At 43.4% G+C, this 27465-nt stretch overlaps 1 protein-coding gene across 1 annotated transcript, besides 3 other annotated features; it reads left to right on the forward strand.

Annotated features, from left to right (window-relative positions):
* Positions 3470-4669: an enhancer, noted in NCBI's record as "BRD4-independent group 4 enhancer chr8:125968524-125969723 (GRCh37/hg19 assembly coordinates)". NCBI's record gives its function as "activates an origin of replication core promoter dependent on BRD2, P300/CBP, MED14 and CDK7 cofactors, and independent of BRD4, by STARR-seq in HCT116 cells {active_cell/tissue: HCT116}" and the evidence as "EXISTENCE:reporter gene assay evidence [ECO:0000049][PMID:35650434]".
* Positions 10427-11182: an enhancer, noted in NCBI's record as "OCT4-NANOG-H3K27ac-H3K4me1 hESC enhancer chr8:125975481-125976236 (GRCh37/hg19 assembly coordinates)". NCBI's record gives its function as "activates a minimal SCP1, AML or CMV promoter by ChIP-STARR-seq in primed H9 embryonic stem cells {active_cell/tissue: H9 hESC(primed)}" and the evidence as "EXISTENCE:reporter gene assay evidence [ECO:0000049][PMID:30033119]".
* Positions 20426-20585: an enhancer, noted in NCBI's record as "active region_27896". NCBI's record gives its function as "activates an Ori minimal core promoter by ATAC-STARR-seq in GM12878 lymphoblastoid cells {active_cell/tissue: GM12878}" and the evidence as "EXISTENCE:reporter gene assay evidence [ECO:0000049][PMID:35858748]".
* ZNF572 (zinc finger protein 572) lies at positions 20483-26577 on the forward strand. Its single transcript, NM_152412.3, has 3 exons — positions 20483-20604; positions 22794-22907; positions 23536-26577. The coding sequence occupies exons 2-3, from the start codon at positions 22829-22831 to the stop codon at positions 25044-25046; spliced, it is 1590 nt and encodes a 529-aa protein (NP_689625.2). The 5' UTR covers positions 20483-20604; positions 22794-22828; the 3' UTR covers positions 25047-26577.
* The last annotated feature ends 888 nt before the right edge of the window (positions 26578-27465 follow it).

The raw sequence follows: 27465 nt of genomic DNA on the forward strand, positions 1-27465 counted from the left end.
AAGTAGCCAGGTGTGGTGGTGCATGTCTGTAATCCCAGCTACTCAGGAGGCTGAGGCAGGAGAATTGCTTGAACCCAGTGACTGAGAGTGCATTCCAGCCTGGGTGACAGAGTGACACTCCACCTCAAAAATAAATAAATAAATAAAATAAAATTGCTTTTTAAAAAAAAAAAAAACTTATATGCGGCTGGGCATGGTGACTCACGCCTTTAATCCCAGCACTTTGGGAGGCCGAGGCAGGTGGATCACTTGAGGTCAGCAGTTTGAGACCAACCTGACCAACATGGTGAAACCCCGTCTCTACTAAAAAAAAAATATGAAAATTAGCCAGGCATGATGGTGGGTACCTGTAATCCCAGCTACAAGGAAGGCTGAGGCAGGAGAATTGCTTGAACCTGGGAGGCGGAGGTTGCAGTGAGCTGAGATCGTGCCATTGCACTCCAGCCTGGGCAACAAGAGCAAAACTCCTCTCAAAAATAAATAAATAAAACAAAATAATTTAAAACAAAACAAAACAAAAAAAGCTTGTGTGCGGCCGGGCATGGTCACTCATGCCTTTAATCCCAGCACATTGGGAGGCCAAGGCGGGTGGATCACTTGAGGTCAGGAGTTCGAGACCAGCCTGACCAACATGGTGAAACCCTGTCTCCACCAAAAAAAATACAAAAATTAGTGAGGCATGATGGTGGGTACCTGTAATCCCAGCTACTGGGGAGGCTGAGGCAGAAGAATTGCTTGAACCCGGGAGGCAGAGCTTGTAGTGAGCCAAGATCCTGCCATTGCACTCCAACCTGGGCAACAAGAGCGAAACTCCATCTCAAAACAAAAATAAAAACAAAACAAAACAAAACAGAAAAACTTGTATGCAAATAAATAAAAATTAGAGGAAACAAAAAGAAAATAATACTTGCTGCAATAACTGATGAAATTTTGGATACAATCTTTTTCTTGGATTTTCTGATTGTTTTAGCAGTAAAAAGAGCACAATTTTAAAATTTGCTTTCTAAATAGTCCTGAATAAGAACAGCTCTCAGCCCAGGGATATCAGCAATGCTCTCTGGCAATGTCAGCTCCCTCTGGTGGGCTGATGCATAGTCTTGATTTCCTTTATGTCTCTCAATTTTTAGCACTCCACGAAGAGGCCTTGGCTAGCTGCACATCTCCCTACATGGGTATGTCAAGATCACCAACTCTGCTTACAGCAGTTCCCAGATGAAACTCTTCATAATTTCAGATGCACCTTTAATACCAGTGAAGGTTTACCTCCAGGCCCACAGTCTGGGTCTTTCCAGAGACACCCACAGCAAGATGTCACCTGCTTTTTGATGTCATCAGAGTCAAACACAAACACCCACCACTGTGGTTTCCATGTCTAATTCGCAAATGGCTTTAACTTTGAGCTGGCCCACAATGTTGTATTAACCCCACTCAGGTATCATCTTTCTCCGTGGGTGAACCCATAGTGACCTTTCCTTCTGATTCTTCTTTTACTCTAAGGGCATGATTTTGGCAAACTGTCTATATGTACACTGGAAACAACTTCAACTTGCTTTTATGTTGATTTCACTTCTCCACTTTCAATGCAGAAAGCTAATCAGCAATGCCCTAGGTTACTAAGAGAGGACAATTCTTTCTTAGCCCATTGAATTATGAGCATTTTCTTGGAAATGCAGCAAAATGTGTTCTGACAGATGCCTTTGGGTCCCTTGGGTTCTTTGCTAAGACAGCTATAGAGAGAGGGCTCAATAAGGTGGGGCCTGTGATGGGACATTGTTTTTACTGCACTGGTGATAGAACAAAAGTCAGACAGGGCACAACACACACTGATACAACCAATCACCCAGTCACACTGCAGCCTTAGGAAACCCATGAGCTTGTGGCAGCAGGCAAACTTGCTTCAGAGTTCCAAGAATCCAAATGTTCCTGGTGTGTCTGTTGTCTTGCGATATAGACTGAGATCACAGGATTGAAGATACGACCAGAGTCATGCTGTTGAAAGAGACTGGCTGAGTAGTGATGAAAAATAAACTTGGTCAATCTATGCTTAGTTTCTTTCTCTATCATATCTGTTCAACCTATTTTGTAGGCTATTTGTGAGAGTCAAATGAAATAATAACAGCAATAATAATAATAGAAAATACATAGCACTTCTTAACATCAGGCAGACACTGCTTTAAGTACTTTATATGGAACTTAAAGCAGTGGTAAAAACATTAAAAATAATAAAGCATTCTGCAATTGTAAATGCTATTATTAGAAATATCATTAGAGTTCAAGACCAGCCTTGGGCAACATAGGAAGACCTCATTTCTACTAATTTTTTAATTAGCCAGGTGTGGTGGTGTGCACCTGTAGTCTCAGCTACTCTGGATGCTGTGGTGGGAGAATCACTTGAGCCCAGGAGATCCAGGCTGCAGTGAGTCATGATTGTGCCACTGCACTCCAGTCTGGGCAACAGGGCAAGACCCTGTTTCAAAACATGAAAAAGAAATATAGGCCAGGTGCAGAGGCTCATGCTTGTAATCCCAGCACTTTGGAAGGCCAAGGCAGGCAGATCACTTGAGGTCAGGAGTTCAAGACCAGCCTGGCCAATATGGTGAAACCCCATCTCTATTAAAAATACAAAAAAATTAGCTGGGTGTGGTGGCACGCACATATAATCTCAGCTACTTGGGAGGCTGAGGCAGGGGAATCATTTGAACCAGGGAGGCAGAGGTTGTGGTGAGCTGAGATGGCACCACTGCACTCCAGCCTGGGAAACAGAGCAAGACTCAGTCTCAGAAAAAAAAAAAAGAAAAGAAAAGATTTGGGTGGGTGCAGTGGCTTAGCCCTGTAATCCTAGCACTTTGGGAGGCCAAGACAGGAGGATTGCTTGAGGCCAGGAGTTCAAGACAAGCCTGGTCAATGTAGTGAGACCCCATCCATAATAAAAAATAATAATAAAGAAAGAAAGAAAAAATATAATTACTAATCATTTCATCCTGCCCTTCTATGGCAGCAACTGTATCCAGGAGCAGGTGTTTGCCATAATAGATATTGCAGTCACCACCGGCATATTAGTGTTGACCAGAAGACAAATGGTCTAGCTAGCCAGGTGGGGTAGACTGTGCCCCTCTCTAGGAAGCCTCATGACCTCATCCACATGATAAAATTTGCCTTTCCCAGCGGAGGCCCCCAGACTAATGGTGACACCCAATCTGCTTGCTGCTCAGCTGTCGGAGCGAAGTTGCCCAGGTTGTCGTCTCTGACAGTTCTCATCAGCCTCGTTCTCCATTCTTCAGATGAGTCATTTTTCTTCCTTTACTCTTGGTTATATCTTCCAAGTACTGGCTACAGTTTTGGAGCTTTGGCGTCCAAACTGGTCAGACACAGTGGCACAGAGAAAAGGGAGAACTGGCTCTTCGTGACTGCACTACTCCCAACCACATCCGTTCATTGACCTTTGTCACTCAAGACTGAAAGGCCACTTGCTTTCAAAAAAAGAGATAAAGATTTATGTCTCCTGCCAAAGGAAAGAGAAGTCTGGCTCTGAGCCATGACAGGGCTCTCCCTGCTGCAGCAGATGAGCAGGGAGGCGTGCAGGTCCCCTCTGCTTCTGCCCTGTGATGAAGGCAACAATTCATCTAAGTAGTCACAGGACAGTCCTGGTTTCCAGTTATTGTCTCAGCATAATTATTCATGGAGCCTCTTTTAGTCTCCAAAGGGTCCCATTTTCAATGATAAATCACATGGTCACTCTACTTAAGACCCATCACGGAGTGCTGCATTCAGGTGCAGTGGAAGACACTCTGCCGTGGGGCTGGAAGACCAGAACCCGAGACCTGCCTCCATCACTGGTTCCACCGGCTTGGGCAACCCACTTCCGCCTCTCAGGAGCCTCGGTTTTCCTGCCTGTAGAAGGGACATATTTTCCTTCACAAACTTGTGATGAGAATAAGTAGCATATTGGCATGCAAGCACTTGGTCAGCTTTTCACCGCTAAACAGATGAAAGTCCTTTTTATCGTGACAATATATGTCAGAAGCCCATTATTTTGTCCTGTTATCCAATCCTATTATCCTCAATAATATCATTAATGTCTTGCAGCAAAATCTTATTTTTCAATAGGTTTCTCCTTTATGCAGGTGAAGAGAATCCATTTTAGATTAGTCCCTGTCCCAGGTAACAAATCACTTGTTCTGCATGTGAATTTGACATTATGGAACTGTCCATTGTAAACTGCCATGCCCTTTGTGAATTTCCCCTTTCTCCTTCCTTTTCCCACCCTAATAGTCACCATGTAATTCATCCCAAAGGAATGTGGTTGAACTTTCTGGACACTAACGAACAAAGAACTTGATGGTCACAACCCTTTGTGAAGATGCGCATTCTTGATCACTTGGCCTGATGTTTCCTAGGATGTGTGTGTGTGTGTGTGTGTGTGTGTGTGTGTGTGTGTGTAAGAAAAGTCCCAACACTGATGACCAAAACTCAGTGATCTGAATGCACAGGATTTCCTGCTAGAATTGTTTTTCTAATGCAGAATCTTGTCTTCACCTTTTCACCCCTATGCACTTCCTACAGAGATGATGGATGAGAAGGACGTACAGCTTCCTTCAGTGACATGACATGCTGCTCTCGGCAGCCCCACGAAGACCCAGGAACCTGTGAGGTTCTACTAAGGGGTCACCAGTCACGGAAAACATGCCCAGGTTTGCCTGCCAGGAAGAGGCAAGCACCCAGGGCATCAACTCTATTTTATCAGGGCACTTTCTGAGCAATTAGTGGCCCGGTGTCATTATAGATGCTATTTGTCACACCATAAACTTTGTAAAGGAATTCAAAGGGAACAAACGTGGCATGCAGAGCAATAAGCAATAAGTCAGAGATGCTCCTGTTCTTAGATCTTTCAGGATGAGATTTTATTAGGCCAGTTTCTAGGATTTCCTCTGAAGTACAGAAAATCCAGTGAATGGCTTCGAAAGCAAAAGCTTTTAAGATATGCTCTCAAATGAAATGATTTCTTCTCTTTTTTTAGATGTTGCAGGGAAAGGAAGAGAAAAGAAAACTCATTTGTTCATTCAATAGATTTATTGAACTGCCAGGTACTGTTTTAGATGCTGAGAATACAGCAGAAATTAAATAGACAAAGAACTGGCTTGTGGAGTTAAGATCCTAGTCAAAGAGAACGATAATAAACAGAGAAACAAACACATATAAAACAAAATGTCAGATAACCATAGGTCACTGGGGTGTCATTTTCAGACAGGGTGACGAGAAAAGGCAGGAGAGGGACAATAGTTCCCCCTCCCAGTGTTAACCTTTTTTAAATCTAAAGTTCTTCACCTTCAGTCAAAGGACTTCCCCGACCCTGACCCACTCACTTTGTCTTTCTGGAACTCCCTTCAGAAGAACTCTTTGACGGAGCCCCAGACAGGCCCTTGATGTGTTAAAGAACTTTAGACAGTCCTTTCTCAAGACAGTAGCTTGGCAAAGAATGTCATCAATGTCTTGCAGCAAAATCTTATTTTTCTATGTTAAAAGCTAAATAGTATCCCACTCTGTCTCTGCAGCCCTTCAGTAGTAAGAACTGCATGACATACCCCCAAGCAGATGTATGGCTCAGGTGAACTGAGATGAAAGGTAAAATGCACAGACACACACATGATTTTTAAAATATCATGCCCTTGCAATTACTAAGTTCCCACTGAGTGGCAGACACAATGCTAGCCACTGGCAGGACAGAGATAAATAAAATATAGTGCCTTTCCTCAAAGAGAAGTCTAATGGGGTTATCTATAATGCGAAGAGTTGGGAACAGATTAATGTTTCTCAAGGGGATGCTATTTGCATTTGGGCAGGATATTTTTATTTTTTTAAGATGAGTTCTCACCTTGTCACCCAGGCTGGAGTGCGGTGGCATAATCATGGCTCCCTATAGCCTTAACCTCCTAGGCTCAAGCCATCTCCTACCTCAGTCTCCCGAGTAGTTGGAACTACAGGAGTGAGCCACTATGCCTCACTAATTTTTGTATTTTTTTGTAGAGACAAGGTCTCACTTTGTTGCCCATGCTGGTCTCGAACTCCTGGCCTCAAGCAATCCTCCTACCTCTCAGCCTCCCAAAGGGTGGGTATGATAGGCATCAGCCACCATGTTTAGCCTGGGCAGGACAACTTTTTAGTGTGCAGGATCTGCCATCCTGTCCTTTGTAGGGTCTTTGGCATTCCTGTTTGTTACTGTCTTATTTTGCTAGGGCTGCCACAACAAAATACTACAGACTGGGTGATTTAAATAACAGAAATTTATTTCTAACAATTCCAAAAGCTGGAAATCTAAGGTCAAGGTGTGGGCAGATCTTTTTTCTCCTTTGGCCTCTCTCCTTGGCTTGCAGATGGCCATCTTCTCTCCTCATGTGGTCTTTCCTCTGCGCATGCATCTCTTCCTCTTCTTTTAAGGACATCAGTCATGTTGGATTAGGATCCACTCATATGACCTCATTCAACCTTAATTACCTCTTTAAAGGCCCTATGTCCAAATATAGGCACACTGGGGGTTAGGGCGTCAACATATGAACTTTAGGATACTTGCCCGTCAACTCCTGATAGCTCCAACCAAGGATAACAAAAACAGTCCCACACATTCACAAGTGTCTCCTAGCACTTTAAGAGGAATTCCTATTCTGAGGTTCAATGTGCAGAATTTCCACATCTTCTTTAAATAGTTACGAATACCTGTGCACTTGCCAATTTGGCTATCATTTTCTGATGACAGGCGAAACATTTATCTGAGAAAAGCGACTTTTTAATGGACTCTGGGAAATCCAACGCATTACTTACATCATTAGATAAAGCTGACAATATTTCTCTGTTCAGAGGTTGCTAGCCCTGAAACAATATACTATTAACAAAGGCAGAAAGATTTAAAGTGGGTATTTATGTATTGCCTCCCTGGATCGAATACATTTTTTGACAAGTGAGTATTATAAAAATCAATAACATTCTGTTCTGAAATCTAGTATAAAAAGAATTTAGTAAGGAATTTAAAGGGAGGAAGAGTCTCAGGAGAATTAAAAGATGGCTTCCAGATAGAAGAAGAAGACAAAGGATTACCCTCCAGCAGAGTTGCAGTTACGATATTAAACACATTAACCTGGACAGGTGCCGTGGCTTGCACCTGGGAGGATCACTTGAGCTCAAGTTTGAGGCTGCAATAAGCTCAAACTGGGTGACAGAACAAGACCCTCTCTCTAATAAATATACAAATGCATGAATGAATAAACACATTAACCAGGAAGTCATTTGCATGTGATTTCCCTATTAATACTCACCCCATGTACTGAGTAGGTACAGTGTTAAGCACAATGCTCTAAACATTCCATATATACTATTGTTTGATTTAATATTGTGAAAGGGCAATTCAAATATAAAGATACTTCTGCAGCTCTTCACTCTTCTTCAGCACGCTCCCCCACCCATCCCACCATACACACCTCTTAATTCAACATGGAGCAGACAGAGGCATGTGCAAGAAACAATGGTAGGTGACCTAGGAAAGTGACAGTGGGGATGCTGAGTAGGGGACTTTTTTGAAAGTTATTTAGGAGGTGATATCTACAGAATTTGGTGCGTGGTTGATTATGGGATAAGGGAAAAAGCATAGTCAAAGGCGGTGCCCAGGTTGTAGTCTCATGCAGCTCATTGCCTGGGGATGCCATTCACTGCAGTAGAAAATACAGAAGAGGGGACATGTTCGTGAATTCAAAAGAGATCTGTTGGGCTCTTCCCTGGGCAGGAGAAGGTTTTGTTGAGGGCCTTCACTCCCACTACCTCCTAGTGGTATTGTGATTATCCTCAAGCTCTTTCTGTCCCTCTCCTCAAAAGTGAGAAAAATTGGAATACTACTCCCTTCCTCATACAGGATGATTGTGAGGTGAGAACAGATGTGACAGTGTTTGGGTCGTGGAAGGCACTCACGACCTTCTTTTACTCCTCTCCCTTCTTTTCTACTTCCAACTCTAGATTTATGTAATTCCATGAATTCCATTCAACCTGACCCTTGAAAATATAAGATCCTACAAGGAAGAGTTAAGAGACAAAGAATAAAATACAGGAGACTAAAGGAAGTGACACCTGGTGGGTGCTCACTGATGGTAGATCAACCTTAAATTGGAGGGCAGCTGCAGAGTTGAAGGTAGGGGGTAGGGTGTTGGCATCAGAGAGAGTCCAGAAAGATATCCTGGAAAAATGTTGCTGTTTTCACAGTTTGACTGGCAAGCACCCTGCTTTCCAGCCTTTGGTATATTTAGAAGTGAATCAGGCGCTCTTCTCAGGCCATGTTTCATAATGTGTACTCGAACCTCACATTTCCAATGGGTATCCTCCTCTCTCAGGTTCCTGCTTAACTTGAGACCAGTTTTGCAGGTTTCTACAGCTTTGGGGCTCCAAGAACTAGAACTGGCCCCCAAGCACCAGAATTCTCCTATAAAGCCAGGAATGAGACCTACCTAATCTTGATCTTTTGTTTTCTGGAGGAAGACTGGCTTGCAGAGGTAGGGGTGGGGGAAGATGGGGGGGTGCCAAGATGAGAAGATTTGACAACTAACTTTAGAGAAAATCTGTGGCCAAGGAGGAAAAGTGACCCATAACATTCTGGAGCGAGGTATTTGGCACCTAGGCACTCTCTCTCTAGGAATTCATTCCAAATGATTCACATCACAGAGTATCTATGCTCAGAATCCACTGTTACATCCACATTTATTCATGTTAAATCTAATTGGTACAAATATCGCTTTATGTTTGCATAAAGATTCCTGGAGATTATGCAGTGTTGGTTTGCTCTGCAGCCTTTCATTTTGCTGCCGTCTTACCAAACAGCTGCCTCTGAAGCCACCTGCTGACACAGCATGGAATTTTGAGCATTTGACCTAACCAAGGAAAGTGCTATCCCAAGCTAACAAGAGAGAAGACATAATCATGCCACTGTGCTCCAGCCCACTCGATTGATGCCCTGGGTTTGCTGTAGCACCAGAGTCAAATCATCTTGAACAATTCTTTCCCCTCCCAAAGCCCACACCCACTCTCCCAGCCACCTTCAAAAGAGATGTTGCCATCTCCCTAGCTAGCCATTTCAATATAGGCAAGCCTCTGCATCGGGACTCTATGCTTCTTGGGCTTCCAATAGCTTTGGTGCTCTGTGCCAGCCCATACTCACTCCCTAAGCCATGCCTCTACTCTGTTTCGCTCCACCCCAGAGGTGCTGAGTCAGGTGCAAAGGTACTTAGAGCAGTGATCGTTTCAGTAACAATTCTCTGTATACATTTCCAGGCCCAATGACGCAGGAAGCAGAGGGAGGGGAGAGGCTGGAGAGAAGAAAAAGATCCAGAGATCTCCTGCAAGCACCAGAAAGCTCACCACCAAAAATAATCACAGCAAACCCCATAACTCTGGAAGATGAGGATTACTGTATGCAAGTTACTGAGGCTTAGATTCAATTTCTTGGTCAAGAGTCACAGATCTTGTTTCTGAGGCAAAGGATTTGCCCTGATTATTGTTACGGTAGGTAGGTAGTCAGACATGAGCAGAGCAGGAGAGCGCCCCCACCAACCCCCAGCCAGGAATGCCAGGTGACCATCATGTGATAGTCAGGCAGTTGTTAAACTGCCTCTCTAAAATAATAATTGGTTGCAGCTTGTATCTAGGAAAGGGCAGTCTCCTAATAAATTGAAACACCTGAAACTGGTGATCAGCAGCTTCCAGTAAGATCTCAGGAGTTGGGCGAGTGGGCTCAAGCATACACACTAAGAGGTAAAATAGCAGAGTTTAACTGATATATGACTTTCCTCTAGGAACACTTGACTGGTAAGGGAAAAACACGTCAAGTCACTAAGACGCAAAATGGCGGAGTTTAAATGGTATATGACATTCCTCCAGGAACACTCACCTCCTGAGGGAAAAACTCCAGTCAGTAAGAGGCAAAATAGCAGAGTTTAAATGCCTGGGTAGGGGAAAAATGCCTCAATTGAGCATGCATACAACGCCAGTAAACACACTGCGCATGCTCCTCTCCCAAGTGCTGGCAGGCCACTGTGTATGTGGACAGCCCACCCCAGGGAAGAATCAGGGGAGAAGGGACACAAGACCCCAGAGGCATGCCAACGTATAGAACCGCAAGTCAAAGATCAGACCACACACTTGATCTCTCAAGTCACCTGCTTGGCCCTCTTCCAAGGGTTCTTCCTTTCGTTCCTGCTCTAAACTTTTTTTTCCCGAGATGGAGTCTCACTCTGTCACCCAGGCTGGAGCGCAGTGGCAGAATCTTAGCTCACTGCAACCTCTGGCTCCCAGGTTCAAGCAATTCTCCTGCCTCAGCCTCCCTAGTAGTTGGGATTACAGGAGCACACCACCACGCCTGGCTAATTTTTGTATTTTTAGTAGAGACGGGGTTTCACTATGTTGGCCGAGCTGGTCTCGAACTCCTGACCTCAGACGATCTGCCCACCTCGGCCTCCCAAAGTGTTGGGATTACAGGCGTAAGCCACCGCGCCCGATCATTCCTGCTCTAAACTTTTTTTTTTTTTTTTGAGGCGGAGTCTCGCTCTCGCCCAGGCTGGAGTGCAGTGGCGCGATCTCGGCTCACTGCAAGCTCCGCCTCCCGGGTTCACGCCATTCTCCTGCCTCAGCCTCCAGAGTAGCTGGGACTACAGGCGCCCGCCATGACGCCCGGCTAGTTTTTTGTATTTTTAGTAGAGACGGGGTTTCACCGTGTTAGCCAGGATGGTCTCGATCTCCTGACCTCATTATCCACCCATGTCGGCCTCCCAAAGTGCTGGGATTACAGGCGTGAGCCACCGCGGCCGGACTTGCTCTAAACTTTTTAATGAACTTTCACTCCTGCTCTAAAACTTGCCTCAGCCTCTCCCTCTGCCTTATGCCCCTTGGTGGAATTCTTTCTTCTAAGAAGGCAAGAATTGAGGTTGTTGCAGACCTGTACAGATTCGCTACTGCTAGCAGTATGACATCACGCTGCCCCTCATTACACAGCTTTGCACTACCTGCCAATTAATAGCCTCAACTCATCATTTTAACCACCTCCTCCCTTAAAATGCAAACCTACCGATAGTAGGATAAAACCTACTGACAACTGACAACTTAGTGCCAGCTGTTCTGATTGTATAATCAGCTCAGTACCAAACCCATATCTTCGCCACAGGGGAATTCCTGGGCTTGCAGGAAGGAGGAGAGATTGTCATTGTTTTCCTCGGGCGGTGGTGGGAAATCAGCAGAGTTAGGAAACTTTTGCCATCTGAGGCAAGCAGGAGGTGCAAGGAAGAGGATCAGATTGGTAGACAGGAGGGCTGCTTTTATACAATAAAGAATTTGGCTGGTCTTTGTCACTGGTTCCTAGAAAGGGGCTTCTCAACCCTTGGAATATCGCGAGTGGTAGGAGCACCTTTGTTATTCATGGTGGGCCCCTCAGACCTCACTTGCATTTATGCTAATGAGGCTACTCTTGGTGAGCCCCTGGAGAGTTTACACAAATGAGATGACTCAGGGTAGGGTCTGGCCACACCAGAAAGGCCACTTGTTTGATTAGACTTTGAGTCCTAGCTACTTAGGAGGCTGAGGCAGGAGAATCATTTGAGCCTAGGAGTTTGAGGCTACAGTGAACCATGATTGTACCACGGCACTCCAGTCTGGGTGACAGAGTGATATCCTGTCTCTGAAAAAAAAGATAGAAGGAGGGAAAGATACAGGCAAATCTCTAACCCCTTTCACCACCTGGTGCATCCACTACTTTTACCCTCAAATGCTAGGTTGTGATGTGTAAGGGAATGCAGTGTTGGTGGCTTACCAAATCCGAGAAGAGAGATTTTTAACTGGTGTTCCTTGAGTCCTCTGCCTTCTCCACATCCTTGGCTGGGCTTCAGAGTGAGTCTGAGGAGCCCTTAGTATTACATGCGAAGCTTTCGTAAGTCCACCTATTTTGTTTTCTGGAGAGAGTATCCTGTCAGTTAGGGTTTTAAGAGGAAACAGATGGCATGCTGAAAGATGGACAAGAAGGAGTTACCTGTATTACCCCTTCCCATGCAACGGGGTAACTGAAGCCAGTTTAGTGAACTGTTTACAGAGTTGTGAACAGGGTTGTGCACCAGAGTGCACCAAGGACTTAGCAATGTTGTGAAGGCATTCTACCTGTGGGCCTGGAGGGGAATGGAAAGGGAGCCATTAGCAGAACCCAGGGAACTGCAAGCCTTGGGATAGGGGTCACCGAACTACATGCGTGGACTTGGGTAGAGGCACAGAGTCTCTGCCAATCACAACTGGCTGAGAGAGGGACAGTGAATAGGTACCCCCCGTCCCCATCTCCTGTCAGTGCCTCTCATTGGCCTAACCAAAACACAGAGAAGGGAGTCAGGGTAACATATTTCGTAAAGATCAGTCTCAGCCTACAAAGATCAACTTCCTTGGGCATAGAAAAGGTCAGAGAATATATTCGGAGGGAACAAATTAAAAATAACCAGCATGAGGTCCCAGGTTGTTATCAAATTCCTGCAGAGGTACCTGCCAATAAAATGTTCAGAAGTACTGTCTTTATATCCCACCCAGAAAACCTTCTGCCATTTACAGCCCAAGTCCTCATTAAATCCATATTCTCTTTCTCTTTTGATGGAACTTTAAACAAATTTGTTCCTTATCATCTGAGGTTCTGGGTGTCAATGCCAACTGGGAGCCTATTTCTCATTATTTTATGTAGGGAAAATTACAATGCATTGCAGTTCAACCCCAAACCTCCAAATAACTTTAGGGAGACCCCCCGAAACTATTGCTATGGAATAAAAAATGAAACACTCCTGATTATTGTAAATACAAAGTTGCATGCAGGATTGTGTAAAGACAATGCCAGGTTGGACTGCCAGAACGAGTCAACAGCGCGTGATGTGCTTCCCCCTGCAGAGAGCCTATGAACAGACGTGCAGTCAGGGAGGTTTCACATCACCAAGATTCCTATCCCAGAAAAGCAAATGTTCATAGCTCTGGGAATGGAATGCGACCCTTGTGGAGAACCTATAAACGGACGCATGGGGGGCGCCTGTCCATATGGATAAGATAGGGCTATAAACACCCTCATCTTGCCACGGCTCTTCTAGGCCTCTTTAGGGTTAAGGCATACTTCCTTCCGAGAATTTCTGGTCTAACCAGTTGTCTAGCTTCACGTCCTGTTTCTATGGATTGTTTGTAACCAGCTTTTGCTGCAACTGTTACTCTGATTAATATCTTGCTAATCATAGGTTATGGAAAGACTGTGTTTCTGTTTTAAGGCTCTGTTAGAAATTACTGATGCACACACTATATTGTAAATTCTTATCCCTGTATACTGTACTTCTGCATACAGATGTTATGTTAAAGAATTACTTCATCTCCATGTGACCATCACACCTCATAATCAAATGACCCTAAATCCCTCACTAACCTACCCCCGCCCTCACTAAACTTAGTAATAAATGCTGGTATATCCAGTGCATTGTTGGCATAGCGGGACCAGAAGGCAGTGACCCCCCTGGACCCAGCTTTCACTATCGTGTGTGTCTATTATTTCTCTACCTGCCGATCTGCCTGGGAACAAAGAGAGAGCCCCGTTGCATTGTGGGCTGCTGGCCAGATCCCGCAATAAATAACCTCCTAAAGTGTAACTCAAATATATAAGGAACATGAATACTTATAATGTTAGAATATAAAATGCTTAAATTTTGCTTTGTGATCACCAAACAATATGGTTGTTAAGAAAAAGCTGCTTAGTTGGCAGTAACATGGCCTTTCTCATGCTCATCCTAAAACATCCTAAAACATGGGGCAATTTTTTTTTTTTTTTTAGGCAGGATCTTGCTCTGTCACCTGGGCTGGAGTGTAGTGTGGTGTGATCATAGCTCACTGCAGCCTTGAACTCCTGGGCTCTGGTGATCCTCCCACCTCAGCCTCCTGAGTAGCTGGGACTACAGGTGTGTGCCACCATGCCTGGCTAATTTTTTTATTTTAAATTTTTTGTTTTGTAAGTTGCCAGGCTGGTCCCGGACGCCTGGGCTCAAGTGATCCTCTCACCTCGGCCTCCCAAAGTGCTGGGATTACAGGCGTGAGCCACCTCACCCAGCTTCAACATGGGCATCTTGTTTGCTGGCATACGACATGCTCTTCATAATATCTACAGCAGTGCTTCTCAACCCTCTTTTCCTTATCATCCCCCACCCCATCTTTTCAGACATTTTTTATTAACCACTCCCCCTCCATTAAAATGTAACACCACAAATACACTGTATAACTGTTTAAGTCTTCTATGATGTATGTCTGTGCTTTATGCATGAAAAGGGTATTTTTTTTTCATGCTCCCCCTGAAGAACTCTTTTGTCCCCTTGGGGGCGATATCACCACTGTTGAGAATCGGACCCCCTTCCTCCATCTTCCAATAACAGTTTGCTCATGGCTAGAACAGATAATTAGAAGGCAAGCGTCACTCTTCTTTCATTTCCGAGCTGGACCTGTGGTGCCAGGCTCAGCCTGCTTACACACACCATATAGCCATCCTCCAGCTGGAAGTTCTGTTTGAAAGCTTGCTACTCCAGGGAACGCACAAACTTTGTCCGTGTGCCCTCAACCCCAAACTAGAGCCTCCCCAGCAGTTTAGCTGTGTACTAACTAGAGTCAGTTACAGAGAATAGAATTCACTTGAGCTGACATAAGGAATAATAGATATATTACAAGGATTAAAGGACTTTTGGAATCTCTGGGAGGACTGAGGAAATGGACTGTGGGCTGAGCTTCCAGGAGTGTCAATCAAAGGTGCTGCTACAACTATGGCAATTACAGCTTCAAAGAAGTCTTGGAAATGTAATGTTTAGCTTTTTCAACTGTATTAGTCTGTTTAGGCTATCATAGCAAAATACTAGACTGAGTGGCTTAAACAGCAGAAATTCATTTTCTCACAGTTCTGGGGTTTTTTGGTTTTTGCTTCTTTTGTTTTGTTTTGTTTTTTGACAGGGTCTCACTGTGTCATCCAGGCTGAAGTGCAGTAGTGCAATCATGGTTCACTGGAGCCTTGAACTCCTGGGCTCAAGCAATCCTCCCGCCTCAGCCTCCTGAGTAGCTGGGACTATAGGCATGTGCCACCAATGCAAAGCTTTTTTTTTCTTTTTTTTTAAAAATTGTTTGTACAGATGGAGTCTCACTGTTGTCCAGACTGGTCTCAAACTCCTTGGCTCAAGTGGTCCTCGTGTCTCAGAGGTACTGGGATTACAGGTGTAAGTCACCATGCATGGCCTCATTTTCGCACACTTCTGGAAGGTAGAAGTCCATGATCAAGGTACTGTCAGTGTTAGTTTCCATGAGGCCTGTCTTCCTGGTTTGCAGATGGCCACCTTCTTGCTATGTTCTCCCCTGGCCTTTCCTTTGTGTGTACACAGACAGAGATGTCTCCGGTGTCTCTTCCTCTTCTTACAAGGACCCCAGTCCTATCAGATTAGAGCCCCACCATTATGACCTCACTTAACCTCAAACACCTCCCTTGAGGCCCTATCTCCAAATACAGCCACACTGGGGATTACAGGTTCAACATAAGAATTTTGGGTGAAGGCCGGGTGTGGTGGCTCACGCCTGTAATCCCTGCACTTTGGGAGACTGAGGTGGGCAGACTATTTGAGGCCAGGAGTTCGAGACCAGCCTGACCAACATGGTGAAACCCCATCTCTACTAAAAATACAAAAATTAGCCAGTTGTGGTGGTATGCACCTGTAATCCTAGCTACTTGGGAGGCTGAGGCAGGAGAATTGCTTGAACCCAGGAGGCAGAGGCTTCAGTGAGCCAAGATGGTGCCATTCTACTCCAGCCTGAGGGGACAGAGAGCGAGACTCCATCTCAAAAACAAAAAACAAACAAAAAAAAGAATTTCTGGTGGACACAGTTCAGTTCATAACACCAACTCTTCTCTGCAGGAACGCATAATGAAAGAAAGTGGTAATGGTTATTGAGCAAACCAATATACAATATCCACCACAGCTTTAAAAAAATAAAGGTTAAATTATTCATTTCAACATAAGTAATAGTATAAGTTCAGAAGCAATATAAAAAACAGGTTAAATAAATACTGTTATATTTACCCAATGGAATATCATGCAACTGTTAAAAAAAAGAATACTGGGAGCTCTATGATAAATGTCTGTACTATTATAAAAAACTCTCGGTTGGGTGCAGTGGCTCATGACTGTAATCCCAGCACTTTGGGAGGCTGAAGCAGGTGGATTGCTTGAGCCCAGGAGTTGGAGATCAGCCTGGGCAACATAGTAAGACCCTGTCTCTACAAAAAACGAAGCAAAACAAAACAAAAACAACAAAAAAACCAAAACCCAAAATTAGCTTGGAGCTGAGAGTGGTAGCACACACCTGTGGTCCCACATACTTGGGAGGCTGAGGTGGGAGGATTGCTTGAGCCCTGGAGGTTGAGGTTGCAGTGAGCTGAGATCATGCCACTGGACTCTAGCTTGGGGGACAGAGTGAGATCCTGCCTCAGAAATTAAAAAAAAAAAAGAGAGAAGAAAAGAAAACTCTCCATGTTGTTAAGTGAAAAAACTAAAATTTAGAACAAAGTGAATAGTTTACTATATGTGTAGCAAAAGAAATGTATGAATATATGTCATCTATCTTTATTCATTACCTATATATGTGTATATATACATATGTATATAAGCAGGTAGGTAGGTATTTGCTCACATATGGCATTATCTGTGAATAATACACAAGAAACATACAACGTTGGTTGCCCCAGTGGTGAGAAGAACTGGATAGCTGGGGGCAGGGATGAGAGAGGACATTTCATTTTATGTATGTATTTTGGAGGTTTTTGTTCATTTGCTTGTTTGTTGAGAAAGCAGATTCTGAGACTGAGTTTAGTGTCCAGGGTGTTGATTAGGAAATGGCCTTGGTATCCAAACCTGTGGAAGGGTGAGAAAGGAATCAGGATTGAGCAGAGGGGGAAGACCTACAATTTGGGCCTGACAACACATTCCTCCATCAAGGCCATCAAGAACTCAGGAGTTGGCTGGGCACTGTGGCTCACACCTGTAATCCCAACACTTTGGGAGGCAAAGGCAGGAGGATTGCTTGAGCCCAGGGGTTCACATCAGCCTGGGAAACAAAGTGAGACCCCCCTCTCTACAAAAAAAATTAAAAAATTAGCAAGGCATTGTGGCACGTGACTTTAGTCCCAGTTACTTAAGAGGCTGAGATGGGAGGATTGCTAGAACCTGGGCAGTCGAGGCTGCAGTAAGCCGTGATTGTGCCACTGCATTCCAGCCTGGGTGACAGAGTAAGACTGTCTTAAAAAACAAACAAACAAACAACACTCAGGAGCTGAAATAGTGCATTTAAGAGTTATCCTGCTTTGGACAACATGGACAGCCTTTTATATTTCTGCCTTGATCAGTCCCCAGACGTGGGCTGCCTTGGAAAGGGCATGAGCTCCAGAAAGGCTATTCTCTGAAACTGAAGCACTCCCTGAGGGAGCTAACAGCTGAAAGCTTTCTGTTCACAGCACTCTCAAAGGTGGGCAACATGTACTTCCTTGGATTCTGAGTGATTCATCTCTGTGTCTGTCACTTACGGCCTATATGATTATGATCTAACCTCTTGAAACTTCTCTGACCTTACCTCCAAGTACTGTTCACTTCACTTGCTCTGCTCCTTATTGTTTCTTGAGTTTCCATCTCAGAGTCCTTTTTCTTACTGTTCCTGTCTTAATTGTTCCTCCCTTAAATAACAATGAGGCCCACGACTTTCTTCCTTCATACTTCTGCTGAAATATCTGCCTACTGAGAGGACTTCCCTGATCACCTTACCTGAAATAGTACACTTCCTTTAACTTCCTTTACTTCTTTTTCTAATACTCATCACTGCTTAACATACATTTCTTTGTTTACTTTTTGTTGATGTTCATTTATGATCTCCCTCACATTGTTTGGTTCCCTGGTGTATCCTCAGTGTCTAGGATAACACAGTAACAGGCACATAGTAGGCTTTCAACAAATATTTGTTGAATGAATGAATGAAGGAGTCAGGCACTGTGCTAAGTTGTAAGATAGAATTACAAGCAAAAGTGGAGGCAGGCCTTGTTCTCATGGAGCTTGCTATCTGGATGGAGAGGCAAAATAATGCATCAATCACACAAAGCTGCAGTCATGACATGGGCTAAAATGGAAAAAAAGATATGGTAGGAGAAGAGCATGTAGAAGAGCCTTGAAAGCTTCTGTGAGAAAGTGATGTGTAAGCTGAAATCTGAAGGATGAGTAAGCTTCAATTAGGCAAAGGAACATGGAAGAATCAGGTTCATTTTTGGAAAAGATCCCTCTGGATTCAACAGGGAAGAGTGAATGAGAGGGAGCAAGGATGGGTATCTATGGGACTGTTAGGAGGGTATGGAAATCCTTCAAATGGGGGGTGATGGTTGCTTGAATTAGAGGTGACCCTGGTGGTTAGAAGAAACAACTACAGGTGAGAATTATTTATTACACAACAGATGAGGCTTATTTATGAATTGTATATGGAAGGTAAGGAAAGGGAAGTGAAAAGAAGGGCTTCTGGGTTTCCATATAACTGGATGGATGGTTGAAAGAATATTGGAAGAGAAACAGGTTTATTTTGTTTTATTTTGTGTTTATATGTGTATATGGAGAAGAACAGTGAGAGAGAAGACAGATTATGATTTTGATTTTTGACATTTTGGTTTTGAGGTGTTATTGAGACTTCCTGTATGAGATGCCAAATAGACCATTGGTTATGAGTGAAGAGCTCAGACATGTAGCTTGGGCTGGAGAAGTAAATTTTTGAGTTGTCTGCCTAGGTGGTATTTGAAAATGTGGGAGTGGATGAGATTGCCTAGGCAGAGAACATTCAGTGATAAGAGGAGAGGATGATCTTGAGGGACTGACTTGGAAAAGAGACTAACAGGACTGACTAGAGATGTTGGAAGAAAAGGAGGAGAATGTGATGTCACCTCAAAAGAGTGTTTCTAGAAGACGAGTCCGTAGCCATATCAAACCTCCTGAAAAAGGACCCGAGAACTAAAAATACCAGTTGCACTAACTAACATCATGGAGGTCATTGGTGATGCTAGTGATTTTTTTGTTGTTGTTGTTGCAGGAGAAATGTTAAGGTTAGTGGAAAATTGATGAAATGGAAACATTGTGAGTAAAAAGAGAAAAGAAAAGCTGAGGGACTATTTGGGGATGGGGGTGGAGGGATGGAGAGTTTAGTTGGTAGTGCGAAGTTTCCAAGAAGATAGGTAGGAAAGTGAGTACCAGTAAAGGGCTTATTAAAATACCAAAGAGCCCAGCACTTTGGGAGGCTGAGGCGGGCAGATCATGAGGTCAAGAGATCAAGACCATCCTGGCCAACATGGTGAAACCCAGTCTCTACTAAAAATGCAAAAATTAGCTGGGCATGGTGGCGCACACCTGTAGTCCTAGCTACTTGGGAGGCTGAGGCAGGAGAATTGCTTGAACCCGGGAGGCAGAGGTTGCAGTGAGCCGAAATCCTGCCATTGCACTCCAGACTGGTGACACAGTGAAACTCCATCACAAAAAAAAAAAAAAAAAAAAAAAAGGTCACAGAGGGACTCTGTATTGTAACAGGAGGGAAGAAAGAAAACGGCAGGGTGCAGACTTGAGTAGATTTCTGTTTGGTAGAGGTGAGATGAAGGGATTGGCTTCTATTTTCTCTGTAATGAAAGAGGAGGGATTAACTACTTTTCTAGGTGTTAATAAGGGTGCCTTGTAAACGAATTGTTTTATATGTGAATGGATGCCTTAGCTTTCTAACTTTCACAGGTAAGTAAATATATATCCATGTTCATAGCGGTGGGAACAGAAACAATAGGTGTTTAAAAATACTAGATTGAGGCCGGGCGCGGTGGCTCACGCCTGTAATCCCAGCACTTTGGGAGGCCGAGGTGGGCGGATCACGAGGTCAGGAGATCGAGACCATCCTGGCTAACCCGGTGAAACCCCGTCTCTACGAAAAATATAAAAATTAGCCGGGCATGGTGGCAGGCACCTGTAGTCCCAGCTACTCGAGAGGCTGAGACAGGAGGATGGCGTGAACCCAGGAGGCGGAGCTTGCAGTGAGCCGAGATCGCGCCACTGCACTCCAGCCTAGGCAACAGCGAGACTCCGTCTCAAAAAAGAAAAATACTAGATTGATTTTGATTCTAATAGTGATGATAATTAATCTGATGATATTCTGATGGCAAGGAAAAGTATAAGCTCCAATCAGGCCCCTGTCGTAAGCCGCCTGACAAGTGAGAGAAATGAGGTTCACAGTTGGCTGGTCACAGCACAGGGAAAGGAAATCCACCCCCACGCTCCTTCTGGTCCAGGACCCTAAGGGTTAAGATCAACGAGAGTGGGCCATCACTGTTTCCTAGAACGGCCCCAGCAAAGCCGCCGGGGGAGATGAGGGTAACTTCCTGTTTCTGCCTTCCGGGTTTGAGAGTTTAGGACCCTGGGTTGGTGGGGTCAGAGGGAGAGGGGGTACCTTCCTCCCGGACCGCTGGGGGTGCAGGGCGCCTTGGGTGTAGCACCCAGAACAGTGAGTTCCTTCTTGGGGGGAAGGGAGCCGAGGGTTGCGGGCTAGAGGAGTGGAAACAGCCCCGTCCAGGCTGCAGTGGACGTCCGGGAGAGAGTTCCCGCTGCTGCCAGGGGCGAAGGCCCAGCATCTCCCGCCGACGGGCCACCGTCATCCTTGTCCGCGGGGTCCCTTACGGGATCTTGTCGGCCGGAGACCGTCTGGTATCCTGGAACTTCACCCCCCAGCGTCTCCAACTTGTACCAGCCAGCGGTTCTTAAAACTAGGCTTCAGGCAGTGCATTTTCTTTGAAGGCTTTCTGATCAAAGCACGGCCCCACTCTGATCACATTGTTGCTCTAGAACAGTGAAAACACTCCTTCCCCGTGGAGAGACATCTTAATGGCAGCCTTGTATGGTCTTGCATTTGCCACCATTTTGCTGAGCCACTGTTCCGGGGGCTCCTTTGCTGCCAAATTTAATAGTATTTTAGTAGGGAAAATGGGGGAGATGGTAATGTGTTGCCCAGACTCTTGCTGCTTTTGTAAATACTTTGATAACAATATGTAACTTAGGACAGCAAAATATATAACTCCATTCGAACAACTCCACCCCCTTCCTTTTTTTGCATTCAGGTGTATGGTTTTTTCTCCCCCCCAACTCAAACACTGGGGATATTAGTAATGTAGACTAGTTTCACGTTTCTCTAGAACAAATCCCCACTTGCTGAGTGTGCTTAGGGAATGTCGACTCACTTTGTTAACAAGGTTTAGGAATGTAGACCTCTGTTTTAAAATGCCAGTATTCTAAATATTCTAAAATAAAGGGACTCTGAGGATTCTTTGCAGTTTGGGATTATGCCCAGCTCTGCTTCCTGTTCTAGTTTACGATAATAGATCAGAGGGTGAAAAAGGTCAGCATCCAAACAGACTTGGAGCTCAGTCCTGCTCTACCACTTTCTAGGTGACCTTAGGAAAGTTTCTTAATACCTTTCAAACTCATCCTATAAAATGCTGGTAGTTGTTCATACACTTCAGAGGGCTACTGTAAGAATTAAATGACAAATGTGTGCAAATTATTTCATTCACTACCTGGCACATAATAGGCAGTAATGGTGAAGATACAATATAAGTACATATACTATTTTTTGTTTTTAAAATGTGTGCATTTGTATATCCTTTTACGTCCTTATTTTTCTCCCAAATAATGATACTCTTTATATTCTGAAATGGATGCCAAAAGTCCATATGTCACTGCCTTCCTGTGATAGATCACATTTTCTTCTTTTTCTTTTTCTTTTTTCTTTTTTTTTGTTGAGACAGAGTCTTGCTCTGTCACCCAGGCTGGAGTGGTGCAATGGCACGATCTCGGCTCACTGCAACCTCTGCCTCCTGGGTTCAAGCGATTCTCCTGCCTCAGCCCCCTGAGTAGCTGGGACCACAGGCGCCCGCCACCACACCCGGCTAATTTTTTGTATTTTTAGTAGAGATGGGGTTTCACCGCATTAGCCAGGATGGAACATTTTCTAGTCCCTTAAAATAGGTTAGTGATTGTTGGCTCCAGAAGACGAAGTTTAGGCTGAAATGGATATTGTGAATATGATAGACTTAGGAACTAAGTGCAAGGAGGAAGAGGTCCCTCTTTAGCCTCCTTTTTATATTGCAGGGTTATTGGCTATAATTATTCCACCTCGGCTTTGTCCTAATTTCTCTTTACTGGTTATATAAATCCTAACTTTCCTTTGAAATTGACTTCAAAGGTTTCCTTCTGTCAAGACCAAGTTATTCTTTTGAAACTAAACAGGGTGCTTTTTTTCTTTAGCTGCTGCTTATGCCTTCATATTGATTCCTTGAAGTCTTTATAAGTTTTATTATTGGTGTCTTAAAAAAAATACTTTGCTTTTTAAAGTAAAAGTGTTTCTAAGCTACGTGTGGACAATGAGGATTAGTATTCTGTCTTTGAAGCTTGATCCTCAGACCTTTAATGTGAAGATTTACTTTTTTGCATTGTTATTTCAGGGTTAACCCTTAATTCTAAACACTTAGATCTGAGATAAGATTTTCTAAAAGGGCTGCTAAAAGTTGTGTTTCTTATTTTCGGTATGGTTCATGGAACATTCTATGCCTCCTATTGTTGTGTTGGAATGGTTGGGAAGGAAGGAGGAAGAATAAGCTTTAACAAATACCTCCAAACATAATTTATTTCCTTCCACAGGGTTTCTGATCTCTAACTTGGCTGTGATCATTGTGATGGAGCAAGAAAAAAAACTGTTGGTCTCAGATTCTAACAGCTTTATGGAGAGGGAGAGTTTGAAAAGCCCTTTCACAGGTGAGGGATCAAGACGATGATCTGAATCCTTAGGAAATTTGATGTAGAAAGAACAGGACACTAGAATGAGACAAACCTTAATTTAATTCCTTGTTCTGTCACTTATAAGCTGTGTTAATTATTTCAGCCTCATTGTTCTCATCTTTAAGAAAATGAATAATATCTATTTCACATATATTTTAGAATTAGTGAGATACCGTATCCAAAGCTACTGTTCTTAATAAATAGTGGCTATTGTTATTTCTATAGCATTTGCTCAGATTTTAGCAAAGCTATTGTCTAGTTTTTACCTGAGATGGTATCCTGTTCAATTTAACTTCTATTCACATCAATCCTGTTTTTTCTCTTAAGTCTTCTAGAACAAAACCTAATGCATTTATTTTTAGATTGATGTTCCCTTTGCCAATAATGATTCAAATAATTCATTATTGTTGTTGCTAGGTACAAAAAAAAATCCACCTGCTTCTGGTAAACAGAGGAAAAGAAGTAAAACTGTCTTTAAAAACTTTTTTATATGAAATTATTTATGAGGTTTTACAGTGTTATTTCCTCTCTTCCACTGCAATTTAGAATTTACTTCTCTGGCAGAGATTTGGAATATGGTTAGAATATTTGTTTATTCTTGCAGGAGATACAAGTATGAATAATTTGGAAACTGTTCACCACAATAATTCTAAGGCAGATAAACTTAAAGAGAAACCTTCAGAATGGTCTAAAAGACATAGACCACAACATTATAAGCATGAGGATGCAAAAGAAATGCCACTGACATGGGTTCAAGATGAGATTTGGTGTCATGATTCCTATGAGAGTGATGGCAAGTCAGAGAATTGGGGAAATTTTATAGCTAAAGAGGAGGAAAAACCCAATCACCAGGAATGGGACTCAGGAGAACATACCAATGCCTGTGTCCAGCAGAATTCATCCTTTGTAGACAGACCCTATAAATGTTCCGAATGTTGGAAAAGCTTCAGTAATAGTTCTCATTTGCGTACTCACCAGAGGACCCACTCAGGAGAAAAGCCTTATAAATGCTCTGAGTGTGCAAAATGTTTTTGTAACAGTTCTCACCTGATTCAGCATCTAAGAATGCACACAGGAGAGAAGCCCTACCAGTGTGGTGAATGTGGGAAAAGCTTCAGCAATACCTCCCATCTTATTATCCATGAGAGAACTCACACGGGAGAGAAACCCTACAAATGTCCCGAGTGTGGGAAGAGATTCAGCAGCAGCTCTCACCTTATTCAGCATCACAGATCACATACAGGTGAAAAACCATATGAATGTTCTGTCTGCGGAAAAGGCTTCAGTCACAGCTATGTCCTAATAGAACATCAGAGGACTCACACTGGAGAAAAACCTTATAAGTGCCCTGATTGTGGGAAGAGTTTTAGTCAGAGTTCCAGCCTCATTCGCCACCAGCGGACACACACAGGTGAGAAGCCCTACAAATGTCTTGAGTGTGAAAAAAGCTTTGGTTGTAATTCTACTCTAATAAAACATCAGAGAATACATACAGGAGAAAAGCCTTATCAATGTCCAGAATGTGGGAAGAATTTTAGTCGTAGTTCAAACCTTATTACACACCAGAAAATGCACACAGGAGAGAAATCCTATGAAAGTTCTGAATATGAGGAAAGTTTGGGTCAGAACTGCAATGTGATAGAAGAATGCAGAATCCAGTTAGGAGAGAAACCATATAGATGTTGTGAATGTGGGAAGAGTTTTGGCCTTAGCTCCCATCTCATTAGACATCAGAGAACACATACAGGAGAAAAACCTTACAGATGTTCTGAGTGCTGGAAAACTTTCAGTCAGAGTTCCACCCTGGTGATTCACCAAAGGACACATACAGGAGAGAAACCTTATAAATGTCCTGATTGTGGTGAAAGCTTCAGTCAGAGCTTTAACCTTATCAGGCACCGGAGGACCCACATAGGGGAAAAACCTTACAAATGTACCAGCTGTGAGAAATGCTTCAGCAGAAGTGCCTACCTCAGTCAGCATCGGAAAATTCACGTAGAAAAGCCTTTTGAGTCTCCCGACGTTGGGGATTTTCCTCATGAATGGACTTGGAAAAACTGTTCAGGGGAAATGCCCTTCATCTCTTCATTTTCCGTCTCAAATTCATCTTCCTGAGTCCCAAAGCCTGGTTGGTGATGGTTTTTTCTTCCTTGTTGGACCATGACAATTTAGGTATTCTGTGATTGTTGTGCTATAAAGTTTCTTTGATGTGTTTGTCAAAACATTTGGAAAAAGTCAACCTCCCAGTTTAAAGGATGGGAAGACCCCAATCACCAGGTTATTGGATCTGTCCAGTGAGAGATTCATCCACCAAGGATGAAGAAAGGAGGACTTTTAAAAATTTAAGGTAAGATAGTAATAGCTTCAAAAGAACACATACAGAGTAATCCTGAGAGTAAGCAAAGGAACCATGAGAACCGAAGCTAGAATTGCTATTGAATTACTTTATTTTCTCTTCCCTTATTGGGTAGAGATACATCATTACTGGCCTCAGGGGTTTACCCAAAGAAAGGGTATTTTTGAGCAAATAATGTGATTTCCTGGCTATTTTGTTGGGGGCTTAAGATTTTTTTTTTTCAAATGCATTTTTAGTCACTAAAAATTAACTGTCGTACCATCTAGAACTATACTGTCCAGTACCATAGCCTCTAGCCGTATGTAGCTATTTGTATTAAGATTAATTGAAATTTTAAATCCAGTTCCTCAGTCACACTAGCCACTTTCTAAGTGCTCAGTAGCTCTGTGTGACCAGCGGCTACTGTATTGGATATTATAGAAGGTTCTTTCATTCAAGATCATCATTCTTGACAGACCCATAAATATTTCCTATAAAGACTGTAGAAGTGTGTTCTGGAGGGTTTGCTCTCCAAAAAGAATTGTAATATAGAGTAGAATTGGGATAGAGTATTGAAGACACTGGGTTTAGACATTGGATATTTTAATGATTGTGTGTTCTAATTCATGTGCTGCCAACTGAGTTATCTAGTGATATGACCTCACTGTCTTGACCAAAGCCAGAATAGAAGGCAGGATTCCTGAATTCTATCTTAAAATTTGCAATGAAGAGCCTTTTCCCTAAATTATCCCATTATGTAATTCTTGGTCAGCTCAAGAACTGGGTTCTTTTTCTAATAATTAACTCACTAAATCTGAGCCAGTGTCCAAGGACAGTTTGTCATTAAGGAGTACTGAGACTTCTTAGCTTTGGTACTGACAGTTTTCTTTTGCCTCTTGACATAATTGGTATATGGATCTGATAACTGAGGTCCCATCTTCCCTACTCATTCCTATGGGAATGATGCTTTGGAAATTATTAGATATATCCTATTCCCTTCCTCCCATTTTTTTCCTGCTAGTGCAAAAGGTAGATGAGTAGGAAGATTAGGACTCCTGAGTTGCCCATGATTTCATCTAATTTTTGGATTCAGAATGTATTTTATGAATAATATGCAGAGATGCATATTAGGAATGTGAAGCCAGAATGGGTCAGTTGTAGCTGCTGCAAAGTTCTGTAGCTGATGGTCATTTAATTGCATGGGGGTTATTTTATCTTTCATGATTGTGGTGCACCTGATGCTGGCGGGGTATTTGTGTGTTTTTGTATTGTTATTTGATTACAAAAATAAAGCAAAAACTAACAAATAAAGGTATTGGAGAATTTGGGGGAAATTTTCTGCTTTCAAAAAAGGGGGAAAACATTAGGCATTATTGGCTTTTTATTTTTATTTTTTTCTTATTCATTATTATTATTTTTTTTTTTGAGACGGAGTCTCACTCTGTCGCCCAGGCTGGAGTGCAGTAGTGCGATCTTGGCTCACTGCAAGCTCTGCCTCCCGGGTTCATGCCATTCTCCTGCCTCAGCCTCCCGAGTAGCTGGGACTACAGGTGCCTGCCACCACGCCTAGCTAATTTTTTGTGTTTTTAGTAGAGATGGGGTTTCACCGTGTTAGCCAGGATGGTCTCGATCTCCTGACCTCATGATCCAGCTGCCTTGGCCTCCCAAAGTGTTGGGATTACAGGCGTGAGCCACTGCGCCCGGCCCTTATTAATTGTTTAAGAGATAAGGTCTCACACTGTCACCCAGACTGTAGTGCACTAGCACCATCATAGCTGACTGCACCCTCAGACCCCTGGGCTCAAGGGATCTTCCCATCTCCGCCTCCTGAGTAGCTAGGACTACAAGCACATGCCACTGCAGCCAGCTAATTTTAAAATTTTTATAGAGACAGGGTCTTGCTATGTTGCCCAGGCTGGTCTTGAACTCCTGGCTTCAAGCAGTTCTCCTCCCTCAGCCTCCCAAGCTGCTGAGATTACAGGTGTGAGCCACCACACCTGGCCCATTATTGGCTTTTGTGTGACCTCACCTGAGTATTTTTCTGTCTTTGTATGTTATCTAGTATTGCCCAAATTTTCTTAAATTGTAATATTTCAGGACAAGTTTTTATGGTAACAGTTTGATTAATGCTTGATAACTAAGGAGTTATCAGCTTAGGAGTTGGCTGATAAACTTAGGAGTTTGCTGTTGAGGCTGAAA

The sequence above is a fragment of the Homo sapiens genome, chromosome 8 (assembly GCF_000001405.40).
Source record: "Homo sapiens chromosome 8, GRCh38.p14 Primary Assembly".
Lineage (NCBI taxonomy): Eukaryota > Metazoa > Chordata > Mammalia > Primates > Hominidae > Homo > Homo sapiens.

Bases quoted from the DNA above. Each gene is read 5' to 3' on its own strand.
- ZNF572 (NM_152412.3), top strand. From the start codon at position 22,829: ATGGAGCAAGAAAAAAAACTGTTGGTCTCAGATTCTAACAGCTTTATG. The intron at 22,908-23,535 runs GTGAGGGATCAA...TTATTCTTGCAG, and splicing joins TTTGAAAAGCCCTTTCACAG to GAGATACAAGTATGAATAAT.